The sequence below is a fragment of the Homo sapiens genome, chromosome X (assembly GCF_000001405.40).
Source record: "Homo sapiens chromosome X, GRCh38.p14 Primary Assembly".
Taxonomy (NCBI): domain Eukaryota; kingdom Metazoa; phylum Chordata; class Mammalia; order Primates; family Hominidae; genus Homo; species Homo sapiens.
In genome coordinates, this window is record NC_000023.11 from 124,048,841 (window position 1) to 124,062,122 (window position 13,282).

The window sequence follows — 13,282 nt, forward strand, 5'->3', positions numbered from 1 at the left end:
TAATATAACTGTTAATTTTTCTATATGGTTACTGTTGTCTAGTATAATTCAAAATTCCCCAAAATACTGGGGAATTCTGCTTTTTTTGTGCTTGTAACAACTTACAGGTGTTCATTTGGTTGTCTTCCTTTACAATTGAAAAGAAATGATGTGTTTTTTTACAGCTTCAGGAAAATCAAGATGAAATAGAAAATATGATGAATGCAATATTTAAAGGAGTGTTTGTACATAGATACCGGTAAGTTGTGACAGTTTTTTTCATAAATAGCATTATGTAATTTCTACTCAGCAAGTTTGCATATTTCGTGGTGTAGGGAATCTAAATTAGCAGGAAGAATGTTATAGTAAAATCAATGTTAGACTCCATTAGTGCCACTGAGTCACTCTGGGCAAGTTATTTAACTCATGTGAGTTTGGTGTTTCCCATCTGAAAAATGGGATAATGCTGTGCTTGACTTGCAGCCAGTAGAAGTTACTGCTATTTGGAGTTGGGCTACACAATACTTAATTGCCTTTGGATGCACTATGTTAGTAGAGCCTGCACGTGCTGACTCCTGACTCTCTTCCCTTCCATTGAATATCAGTGGGAACAATTGGATAGGTTAAAGTGAGATATTTTCTTTTGCTGTTTTGAATGAACAGAGGAAAGAAATAGTAATCTTATAAATTTATGCTGTAACCTATTCTTAAATTTTGGTAGTATTTTTATTCAGCTTCCACATATCCTCAACTTGGCAGTTACTGAATCAGGTTAATGCTTACTTTTTGTAATGTCTCCATGTCCATTCTTACCTTTTCACTTCTATTGTCACCATTACCTTAGTCTGTTTCCTCATTCTCATGCCTAGAGATTATTGCAGTTTTGCCAAAATATCCTTTTATTGTGTTATTCCTCTGCCTTCAATGACTCACCAGTACTTACAAGATGAATTTAAAATCATTTATTCTAACATTCAAATCCCAGTTGAGCTTGACCTCAGTGTAATGTATAAATAATACTTACCTGGAAATTACGCTCTAGCCAGACAAGTGTGCCTGCTGTCTTCTGAACACACCATGCCCAGCAGGTGTGAGCAAAGGCTGGGATATGGTATGGTATAAAAGGTGGGGATGGGATTTTGTTTGTAGTTTTATATAATTTTAAATGTTTATGTGTTGATAATTATGCTTTGCCACCTAAGCTTTTGGCATTCAGGCCCATGCTTCATTTCTATTTTTTAATCCCTAGTAATAAGATAATGTCATATTCATAGTAGATCTGAAGTACTTGGCATCTCTTGAATAAACCATAAGTTTTGTGGTATATTGGCACTAATTATGCATCGTTTTTCCTTCCCCCATTCAGTGATGCGATAGCTGAAATTCGAGCTATTTGCATTGAAGAGATTGGCATTTGGATGAAGATGTATAGTGATGCCTTTCTTAATGACAGTTATTTAAAATATGTTGGTTGGACTATGCATGATAAGGTAAGATGTGCCCTTCAGACTGCTTCTTTCTACACATCGGCGTGGCTGTCTGCACCTCTCATTCATGAGTTATCTCCCAGTATGTATACCTGGTGACACATTTCTGGAAGCCTCCCCTTTATTCTTTTCTATCTTCTCTGTAAAAACTTATTTTCTATCACATAAAGTCTGCTAGATATTTTTGAATCCTGGCCACTGATTTAACCATTAATGGTGAATCATTTTTTTGCTGAAATATTACAGTCATGAAGGTAGTAGGAGTGAGGCATTTCTTAGGGCACGAAGAAGAACCATTACGCTGTTGTTATCTGAGAGCTATATACTTAAAAAAAAAATTATTCAATTTTGATCCTCTCTTTTGACAAACCTGTATCTTAGCCAGATTATACCTTACTACTTGGTTTCTGACCTTTTTAATATGTTTTCATTAAACTACCATTCTCTTAGGCTGCCTCTTCACTTGCCTTGAAGAAATTGATTGTATATAATTCTTTCCAAACATTACTTCCCATAGTGGAAAATATACTGTGACACATGCTTCTATTGTTTTTCACAATAGATTTGTTCTGAACAAATTTTCAAAAATTATCCTTTGAACTACAGAAATAGTAACCCCATAGGTATTTAGTCATAAATGTATGTACTGATTACTATTTTTGCATTATCAAACATGATAGTTTCTGAAGGAATGCTATGGTATGAAACATTTAAAATTTTAAAGTAGAAAATATTGTGTACATCTTGAATATTGAAGTTGAAAATACATAGAGTTTTAATGCATTGTCTCATCTTTTTTTTTTTTTTTTTTTAGCAAGGTGAAGTAAGACTCAAATGTCTTACTGCTCTACAAGGGCTTTATTATAACAAAGAGCTTAATTCCAAACTGGAACTTTTTACCAGTCGGTTCAAGGTTAGTATTACTTAAGAATTTACAAATAACTTGTCATTTGCAAACACTTTTCTCTTGCTTTCCTTTTAAAAATATTTTAATTTTTTTGTCCTTAGGATAGAATTGTGTCTATGACCCTTGACAAAGAATATGATGTTGCAGTACAAGCAATAAAATTACTCACTCTTGTTTTACAGTAAGTATGTATTTGTTGCATATTTGCACTAATGTTCAGATATCTAAATAATATATTAGAGTATTTGGTTCAGACTCATCTAGGTCTAAATTTTAGTAGCTTACGTCATGGAGGTTTACAGCTAGAAGTTGAATTTCTTCATGTATAGTTGAGAAAACACAGGAAGAAGGAACCATAGAATATGGAAATTCTTTTTTTTTTCTTTTTTTTTTCTGAGACGGAGTCTCACTCTGTCCCCCAGGCTGGAGTGCAGTGGTACGATCTCAGCTCACTGCAAGCTCCACCTCCCAGGTTCACGCCATTCTCCTGCCTCAGCCTCCCGAGTAGCTGGGACTACAGGCGCCCGCCACGACGCCTGGCTTATTTTTTGTATTTTTAGTAGAGACGGGGTTTCACTGTGTTAGCCAGGATGGTCTCGATCTCCTGACCTCGTGATCCGCCCGCCTTGGCCTCCCAAGGTGCTGGGATTACAGGCGTGAGCCACTGCGCCTGACCGAATATGGAAATTCTAACTGAGCTAGGAATTCATGTGTTCCCATTCTCTTGGCAGATTGATTTCCTTCCTGTTTTTCTGTTTTTGATGCTCTTGAAATAAGCACATCAGTGTATTAAAAAACATGCTTATTGTATTTTGTTACACTTTTAGAGTATGAGCATTTATAAGAATGTCTGTTATACTTCTCATAGCACCTTTAAACAATCTGAATTTAAGACCTATTCTGTGTTAATATCTGATAGTGATGTTATTCATATTTTTCCTTTTTAAAAAATGGTAGTAAAATATAGATTATGTAAAATTCACCATTTTAACCATTTTAAAGTATGGTTTACTGTCATTACCTATATTTACGTTGTTGTACAACTGCCACCACTATCCATTGTCAGAACCTTTTCATCACTTTATTCTGGAGCTCTGTACCCATTAAACACTGATTCTTCATTGTCCCCTTTCCCCAGATCCTGGTAACCACTGTTTTATTTTCTATCTCTATGAACTTGCCTATTCTAGATATTTCGTATAAGTGGAATCATACAATATTTGTTTTTTGCATCTGGCTTATTTCACTTGGCATAATTTCTTCAAGTTTCATACATTATTATAGCACGTACTCCTGTTTATAGCTGAATATTTCACTATATGTATATTCCACATTTTATTTATCCATTTTTGCATTGATGGACATTTGGACTGTTTCCAAATGTTATTGTCAGTTATTGTCAGTAATGCTGCTATGAACATAGATGTGTACAAGTATCTGTTTGAGTCTCTGCTTTCAGTTCTTTTATGTATACCCAGAAGTGGAATTGCTGGATCATATGGTAATTCTGTTTAATTTTTTTTTGAGGAACTGCCATAATGCTTTTTACAAAGGTTGCACTGTTTCACATTCCCACCAGCAATGTACAAGATTTCCAATTTCTTTTTTTTTTTTTTTTCCTGAGATGGAGTCTCACTCTGTCGCCCAGGCTGGAGTGCAGTGGCATGATCTCGGCTCACCGCAACCTCCACCTCCCGGGTTCAAGCGATTCCCCTGCCTCAGCTTCCCAAATAGCTGGGATTACAGGTGCCTGCCACCACGCCTGGGTAATTTTTGTATTTTTAGTAGAGACGAAGTTTCACCATGTTGGCCAGGCTGGTCTCGAACTCCTGACCTCAGGTGATCCACCTGCCTTGGCCTCCCAAAGTGCTGGGATTACAGGCATGAGCTACCACACCCAGCCAAGATTTCCAATTTCTGTACGTCCTCACCAACACTTGTTTTCTGCATTTCAGGATAAATATTTATCAAGTGATGTCTCTATACCAAGCACTTGGGTGGTATGTTGAGAGAGTTAAAAATCAGAGCCTTCTCATTTCAAAATAATATGACGTTTTATAAAAATACCTAGAAATAAGAAATCCACCAGATATATGCAAAGAAACATTAATAAAATGCAACTAAGGGACATAAAAGAAGGCTTGAATTTGGAAAGCTTACCTAGGAAAACTCAGTATTTAAAGGCTTGTAATCTTCCCATTCTGTATATTTACCACAATGTAAATAGTAAAGGCAAAGGAATTTTTTTTTTTTGGCCATAGCAAGCAAATTGTGACATTTCATATGGAAAATTTATCATGTAAGAGTTGCCAGAAGAATATGATACAAACTAATGAGTGAGGACTAGCCCAATGTATTTTTAAGTCATGTATTATAAAATCATAGTAATTTAAAAATTTTGGTCCTGGTACATGAATAGACAAAAAAGATCAATGAAGCAGAATAAAAATAGAGATGAACACATATGCACCACTAAAATGACCATGTAAGGCTTTCATGAGCATGACACAAAAGCTAGATATAAAAGGATCAATGAATTAACTATATAAAAACCTAAAAATGTCTGTATGGCATAAAATACCATAAACTGAGAAAACAGATCTCAGATTGGGCAAGATATTTTTGCATCAAAGGAGTTAATTTCTGCAAATCAATTAAAGAAATCTGTAATAATAGGAAAACAGTCAAATATTATAAATCAGATTATTGACAGAAAAGTATGAATTTAAACATATGAAAAGATGTTGGGCCACACTTACAAACATATATATTAAAGTGAGACTTTTAAATCTGTTTGCTTGGCAAAGATAGAAAGTGTTTGGTAATTACACTATATTGTTGAGGCTATGACGTAACAGGCCCTTTTACATTGTTGATGGGAGTATAAATTGGTCTAAGCTCCTTGGAGAAAAACTTGACAGTATCTGTCAGAATTTCAAATGCTCATGTTCTCTAACAAAGCATTGTTTGTAATAGCAGAATTTTGAAAACAACCAAGGGTGCATATCACTAGAGGAAGAATTAAATTAGTATGTAAGATAATAGCTAATATAAGCACTTTATATGGATAATTTCATTTAATACTGCAGCTCAGTGAGATGGTAGTGGCTATTCCCATTTCTGTGAATCGGACAACATTGCAGTAATTAAAAAGAAGGCAGTTCTACAGATATTGACAATTCAGGGAACTCACTTACCTTGGAATTTCTTGAGCAGTCTGTTAACTGTTGCATTCTTTAATTTTTAATTATATTTTAAAATCATAAATGTTATACACACATGTTGTATATAAAAATTTTGAAAGAATTCTGAAATAAAGTAACAGTATGCTACATATATTTCTATAGCTTCTTTCCCACCATCCTCCACAGTACACTAGAAACATCTTCTTTCTGATATTTTTATCAAAGGTAATAGACATACCCATTCATGTTGATTTTCAGCCATCTATATACCTAATAATTTAAATTTCTTAGAAACGTTCCTTTTCAAAAAGTTAAAATGAGTGAACTTCTGTAGAGTTACAGTACTTTAACTTGTTTGATTCAGTGTTTTTTTTGTTTTGTTTTTTAGAGACAGGGTCTTGCTTTGTCACCCAGGTGGTATGATCATGGCTCACTCCAGCCTCGCCCTCCCAGGCTCAATCCATCTTCCCACCTCAGCCTCCTAAGTAGCTGGGACTATAGCTACTGTAGTCCCACCATGTCCGGCTAATTTTTTTTTTCTTTCCGTTTTTTGTAGAGATGAGGTCTCATGTTGCCCAGCCTAGTCTCGAACACCTGGGCTCAAGTGATCCACCCACTTCAGCCTCCCAAAGTGCTGGGATTACAGGTGTGAGTGACCACACCCAGCCTGATTCAGTGTTATTTTGTTAAAAACACACAAGTTATTTTTCCAAGAACAATCTGATATTATATAAAGAGCAATTGAAATCAGTGTGCTTTTGAAACTTGAATTTTAACAATTTAGTTCTTTTTCTCTCAAAAAGAAGTAATACTTCTTAGACATCAGACTTCTGGAAGCTTTCAGCACAACAGAAAACCAAAAAGTAAAGAGGATCTGTGTGCTTCAACTATCCAGTATTCTTAGGCTTTTTTCCTCTGGCAGTGGTCCTATGATTTGAATTTACATATAATGGTAAAAACCTAGATTATATATATCACAGTAGACTAGAAGCATATTGGGAGAGAAAGAGCTGCCAGGGGCCAGGACTCTGAATGCAGTTGCAAGGGAAGAATGCAACAGCGTTTACCCTGGGGTACTGTGGTTGATGGGCCTTAATGATGATGATTTATCGAAAATATTTTGTTAGGCTTATTTTGTTCTTTAAAGATAAGAAAAATAAAATGAGCATTACATTTTAGTAAGATTTTTTTCCCCAGTGATTGCAGTTAAAGATCTTTGGCACTTAGATTTTAGTTATTTGGGAAAACCACTTGCATTGCCTTACATGGTGTTCAGTACATGGTGGATGAAGCATTTTTGATTGATGTGATATAAATGGGCCATTAGTATATTTTGATGTAATGTTGTGACTTAATATTACTATGAAATATAAGGAAAGTATTATATTATCTGTGATTTTTAACTCTAAGCTCTTAGCTTGCTGCCCCTTTACTTTCTATATGGGTTTTCATTATTTTGTCTTCCTTTTCTGTTAGCATCCATGTGACATAATTCTTTTAAACGTTTATTTGTTTACCTTCTGCATTCACTTTTAATTTTACCTGCCATTTATCTTTGATAGATTTTGGTAGATGGTAATTAAATAAGCTTGATTTGGTTTTTTTTTTCCTTTAACACAAATTCATGAAACTTTACAACTTTTTAAAAGTATGAGCATAAGTTTTTGTACTGTTAATATGCTTAGAATTAGGACGTTACTAAAAGCACCTGTTACTGCTTATTTCTTAGGAGTAGTGAAGAAGTTCTCACTGCAGAAGATTGTGAAAATGTCTATCATCTGGTTTATTCAGCTCACCGGCCAGTAGCAGTAGCAGCTGGAGAATTTCTCTACAAAAAGTAAATCTATATATCTGTTACTCATTTTCTAAGGCATACTTTCATAACAGTAATTTGTTATGTTATACTTGACATTAAGATTATATATATATAACTTATTTTAAAAATTACTACAGATCATATCGAAGCTTTCACATTTTACTTTTTCCTTTAAAAGTTTAGATTTCTCCTAAGTTCTTTGATTTATTTTAAGTTAGATCTTTAAAGGGAAATGTAGGCTGGGCGCAGTGGCTCATGCCTGTAATCTCAGCACTTTGGGAGGCCGAGGCGGGTGGATCACGAGGTCAGGAGATCGAGACCATCCTGGCTAACACGGTGAAACCCCGTCTCTACTAAAAATACAAAAAATCAGCCGGGCCTGGTGGCGGGCGCCTGTAGTCCCAGCTACTCGGGAGGCTGAGGCAGGAGAATGGCGTGAACTCGGGAGGCGGAGCTTGCACTGAGCCGAGATTGGGCCACTGCACTCCAGCCTGGGCGACAGAGCGAGACTCCATCTAAAAAAAAAAAAAAAAAAAAAAAGGGAAATGTACCCATGTCTTTCAGTAAACATGCTTAGAAAGATACCTAACTATATTATAATATTAAGACTGATCTCTTCCTAATTGTTTACCCTTTTATTACCTGCTTCAGCATCTAAATATTGCTTATGCTATAATTAGGCTTTTTTTTTTTTGAGACAGAGCCTCTCTCTGTTGCCCAGGCTGGAGTGTGCAGTGGTGCGATCTCAGCTCACTGTAACCAACCTCTGCCTCCTGGGTTCAGGTGCTTCTCATGGCTCACCCTCCTGAGTAGCTGGGACTACAGGCTGTATTTAGTCTTCAACTTATTTTTCCTTTCCTTTAGAAAATATTAAAAGGTTCTTCAAGTATTTAATAAAGTTTGACATAAGAATCCCAAGAATTCTACAGTCTCTTTACTTTTGTGATCCTATTTAACTCAGATTAGGTAGTATGAGTAGAAGTGTGAATATCTGTTCACAGAAAACAAAGATTGTTATATAATGGCTTTCAAAGAGACTCTTTTGAGCCATATAGATTAAACTTTTCTTGTTCCTATGATGTTATTAAAATGCCTGTTGGGGGTGCAGCAATTATTAGGAAGAGTAGGTGGTATAAAACATTTACACTACAGTTTTCTATTCATTGCTGTTTAGTGTTAATTCTCTTTGTTGTTTATGAGGAAAAATGCTCATGCTATCCATAGTAAAAGGACAGTAAGTTGGGGTAATTTTGCCAGAAGGATGGAAGGAAAGTATATGTTTAGTTTTCAAGATGAATATGTATCATAGATTTTTTAGCATAAATGGTGTAGCTTTGTCAATGTACTACTTTTATGGAAGGCAACAGTTATATAAAATACAGTAAGGTTTTTAAAAACAAATAGTTTATAACTCAGTACAATTAACTTGAGAAATTAGTTTAAAAGGACTTAGAATTACCATCAAACATGAAATGAAAAAGGTTTATAGCAATTATTTGCGTGGTGTGCCATGTTGGATGATATTGTACCTACCCAGTTCTCCTTTACTCCTTTGTTAGATCCTTAGATATGAAATTGAAACAGTTAATTTTTTTATTAGAAAATTTTTTGTTGTTGTTGTCGTAAAATAAATATTTTACTTTTTTCACAGGCTCTTCAGTCGTAGAGATCCAGAGGAGGATGGAATGATGAAAAGAAGAGGAAGACAAGGTCCAAATGCCAACCTTGTTAAGACATTGGTTTTTTTCTTTCTAGAAAGTGAGGTTAGTTGATAGTATTTATTTTATACTTAGGTTCGAAAAATTTTGGAAAAGGGGTTAAAATGAGGCACATTTAAAAAAATATTCCTTGTAGCACAGTAAATTGTGAATAGAATGGAGAGCCACCCACTCCCCCACTCCCCCAATTTTTTTTTTTAAATATGCTTTCTACTTTTCTTCTTTTTTTTTTTTTTTTTTTTTGAGACGGAGTCTTGCTCTGTCACCCAGGCTGGAATACAGTGGCGCCATCTTGGCTCACTGCAGCCTCTGCCTCCCAGGTTCAAGCAGTTCTCCTGCCTCAGCCTCCCGAGTAGCTGGGCTTCCAGGCGTGTGCCACCACGCCCAGCTAATTTTTAGTACAGACGGGGTTTCACCATGTTGACCAGGCTGGTCTTAAACTCCTGACCTCAGGTGATCCGCCTGCCTTGGCCTCCCAAAGTGTTGGGATTTACAGGCATGAGCCACTGCGCCCGGTCACTTTCTTCTTCTAGTAAGATGTTCAAACAGTAGGATTTATGTATAGTGCTGAGAATATTAATTTTAAAGTTCAAAATCCTAATTGTCAGTTGGGCTACTCTGCTTACTATTTGTGTGACCTTGGTTTAGCTACTTATTCTTTCAAAGCCTCAGTTTCCTAGTAAAAAGATGGGTAATAAATTCTTAGTTAACACTGAAATAATCTGTATAAAACTTAACACAGATCTCTAGAACATTGTAAGATTTCAGATGTTGGTACCTGCCATTGCAATTGTAGATGTAGACTTAAACTAGTCTCCCTAAAGTTGGAAACCTACAATGTTAGCCAGATTTTGAGAGGGCTCAAAATTTATTTTTGGTGTTCATATTACATACTATTATTTAATTAGTGATCAGGCCTTTTAATTTTCTAGTTATTTCTATATATGGATATATAATTGGTTTTTTATTCTTTAGGATTTTCTACATTACACCATCAGGTCATTTGTAAATAAAGATAATTTTCCTTTTCCTCTCCAACATTTTTTTTTTCATTTGTTTTCTTGCCTTATTGAATTGTCTAAGACCTTCAGTAGAATGTTGCGCTTAGGTGCGGTGGCTGACGCCTGTACTCTCACCACTTGAGGAGGCTGAGGCGGGTGGATCACTTGAGGCCAGGAGTTTGAGACCAGCCTGGCCAACATGGCAAAACCCCGTCTCTACTAAAAATACAAAAATTATCCAGGCATGGTGGTGCATGCCTGTAATCCCAGCTACTTGGAAGGCTGAGGCACAAGAATCGCTTGAACCGGGGAGGCAGAGGTTGCAGTGAGTCAAGATCATGCTGCTGCACTCCAGCTTGGGTGACAGAGCAAGACTCTGTCTCAAGTAGACATCTTTGGATTGCTCCTGATCTTATGGGAGAAGTGTCCAATATTTCGACATTAATTACATTGTTAGCTATAGGTGTTTTGTAGATATTTATAATCCGATTGAGAATGTTCCCTTTTATTCTTTTCTTTGCTGAAAGTTTCTAACATGAATGGAAATTGAATTCTGTAAAATGCTTCTGCATTACTTGAGATGATTGTTTTATTTTTATCCTTTATTATGTTAATGTGTCGAGTTATGTTGAATGACTTTTTAAATGTTGAATCAACCTACTTGTTCATGATGTTATTCTTTTTCTATATTGTTGGATTCAGTTTGCAAATATTTTATTTTATTTTATTTATTTTATTTTTTTAAGCAACAGTGTCTTGCTCTGTCACTCAGCCTGAAGTGCAGTGGCGTAATCATAGCTCATTGCAGCCTTGAACTTGTGGGTTCAGTTGATCCTCTTGCCTCAGCCTCCCTAGTAGCTCCGACTACAACTTCGTGCCACCACACCCAGCTAGTTTATTTTAGAATTTTGTAGACAGTAGGGGTGTCTTGTGTCCCAGGCTAGTCTTCAACTCTTGGGCCCAAGCAGTCCTCCCTCCTTGGCCTCCCAAAGTGCTGGGATTACAGGCATAAACCACAGCACGTGGCCCGGTTTGCCAGTTTTTGAGGGCATTCCCTCTATGTTCATAAAGGATTTAGATTTAGATTTTTTATTATTTGTAATTGCTTTGACAGCTTTTTTTTGTATAATGATTATGATTTGCACACCCCCTCCTCCCCCCGCCAAAGGAGTCGGGAAACAGTAGGGTTTGTTTTTTGTTGTTGTTGTTTTTTGATACAAAGTCTCGCTCTATTGCCCAGGCTGGAGTGCAGTGGTGTGATCTCGGCTCACTGCCAATCTCTGCCTCCCACGTTCAAGTGATTCTCCCACCTCAGCCTCCAGAGTAGCTGGAATTACAGGCACCCATCACCACACCTAATTTTTGTATTTTTGCTAAAGACAGGGTTTTGCCACGTTGGCCAGGCTGGTCTCGAACTCCTGACCTCAGGTGATCTGCCTGCCTCGGCCTCCCAGAGTGCTGGGATTACAGGCGTGAGCCACCATGCCCAGCTAACAGTAGGGTCATTTAAGCTTCACATAATGAAGAGAATGATTTGCTTATATATTGAATTGACAAACATGCATTTTGTGTTTTAATTAACCATTATCACTCCCCTTCAGTTAAAATAAATTCATAGCATACCTAAGAATTGAGAGTAGCTGACTAATACATTAGGTCCAAATAAGCAGTAAGTATGTATATAATCTTTTTATAAAATACTTTTCAGGACGGGTGCAGTGGCTCACACCTGTAATCCCAGCACTTTTTGGAGGCTGAGGTGGGTGGATCACCTGAGGTCAGGAGTTTGAGACCAGCCTGGCCAACATGGTGAAACCTCATCTCTACTAAAAATACATAAATTAGCCGGGCGTGGTGGTGCATGCCTGTAGTCCTAGCTACATGGGAGGCTGAGGCAGGTGAATCATTTGAACCTGGGAGGCAGAGGTTGCAGTGAGCCGAGATAGCACCACTTCCCAACAGCCTGGGCGAGAGCGAGACTCCATCTCCGCCACCCCCCCAAATATATATAATTTATTATAAATATATATATTTTATATAAAAATAATAAAAAATTTTTTTCATATTAATGTTTTAATGATAATTGTTAATGTGTAATGATGCTACCTAACACGTCTTTCTTACAGCAAGCAAACTAAGGCAGTTTCTTCTCTGTCCTTTCATCTATTTGACGTCAAAAAATAGATTGCTGTTTGAGAGTTTGTAGATGATGTCAATAAAGTTTCCATTCTTTTGAGTTAAGGCTAGTATGATAATTGTCTAAGACCACATTGCTCTTTTTAAATTTTAGTTACATGAGCATGCAGCATACCTTGTGGATAGCATGTGGGACTGTGCTACTGAGCTGCTGAAAGACTGGGAATGTATGAATAGCTTGTTACTGGAAGAGCCACTTAGTGGAGAGGAAGGTAAGGATGTTTAATTATGATATTTTTGTTTAGACAGTTTTGTAAGTAGATTTTTACTCATTCCATTTATTTGTCCTTTTAGTTTTAAGACAATTTGATAGAAAAATCTTACTTCGTGCATAGTTTTGTTTTCATATAAATATTATGCTATGTAAAAAGATGTAATTGCTGTCAACATTCTTTATTTTTTTGTATCTGGGTTATTTTTTTTACCCAAATGTATGGATCTGTGGTGGATAGATTTGGGATGCTGAGGGTTTTAGGAAGGTGATGTTTTCTGTGATAAAGTAATGGGATTTTCTTTAGTACCTTAGGGCAGATTCTGTTTACAGGCAGAAGAAACTGTTATGTAATAATTACAAGTGGCATATAGGGAGAAGAAATAAGCTAACTCTTTCTGACTTTTTTTTTTTTTTTTTTTTTTTTTAGCACTAACAGATAGGCAAGAGAGTGCTCTGATTGAAATAATGCTTTGTACCATTAGACAAGCGGCTGAATGTCATCCTCCCGTGGGAAGAGGGACAGGAAAAAGGGTATGCCAATCAATGTCTTTTCAATATTCTAAACTCCATTTCTCCTTTTTCAGTATCTTTTTAAAAATTCCATTTTAGCCATGAAACAATTTTGTTTTATTTTTCAGACAACCTTTGCTTATAAATTTGTTAGAGGTAAATTTTAAAGCATTAGCAATTTGAGAAATTTGAGTTCTCTGTAATATACTTTTTTAGTTGCTGCAGGAGATATGATTGACAGTCCCTGCCTTCATGACTGAATGTAGCAT

General features: G+C 36.3%; 1 protein-coding gene across 35 annotated transcripts in view; it reads left to right on the forward strand.

Annotated features, from left to right (window-relative positions):
- STAG2 (STAG2 cohesin complex component) overlaps window positions 1-13,282 on the forward strand; it is a 142,097-nt gene that overhangs the window by 88,281 nt on the left and 40,534 nt on the right. For all 35 annotated transcript variants that reach the window (NM_001042749.2, XM_047441783.1, NM_001441077.1 and 32 more), the window contains 8 exons: window positions 165-238; window positions 1,346-1,469; window positions 2,281-2,379; window positions 2,475-2,554; window positions 7,288-7,395; window positions 9,026-9,137; window positions 12,384-12,501; window positions 12,931-13,034. In NM_001042749.2, coding sequence (NP_001036214.1) covers window positions 165-238; window positions 1,346-1,469; window positions 2,281-2,379; window positions 2,475-2,554; window positions 7,288-7,395; window positions 9,026-9,137; window positions 12,384-12,501; window positions 12,931-13,034 — 819 coding nt within the window. The remainder of the gene's footprint in view (window positions 1-164; window positions 239-1,345; window positions 1,470-2,280; window positions 2,380-2,474; window positions 2,555-7,287; window positions 7,396-9,025; window positions 9,138-12,383; window positions 12,502-12,930; window positions 13,035-13,282) is intronic.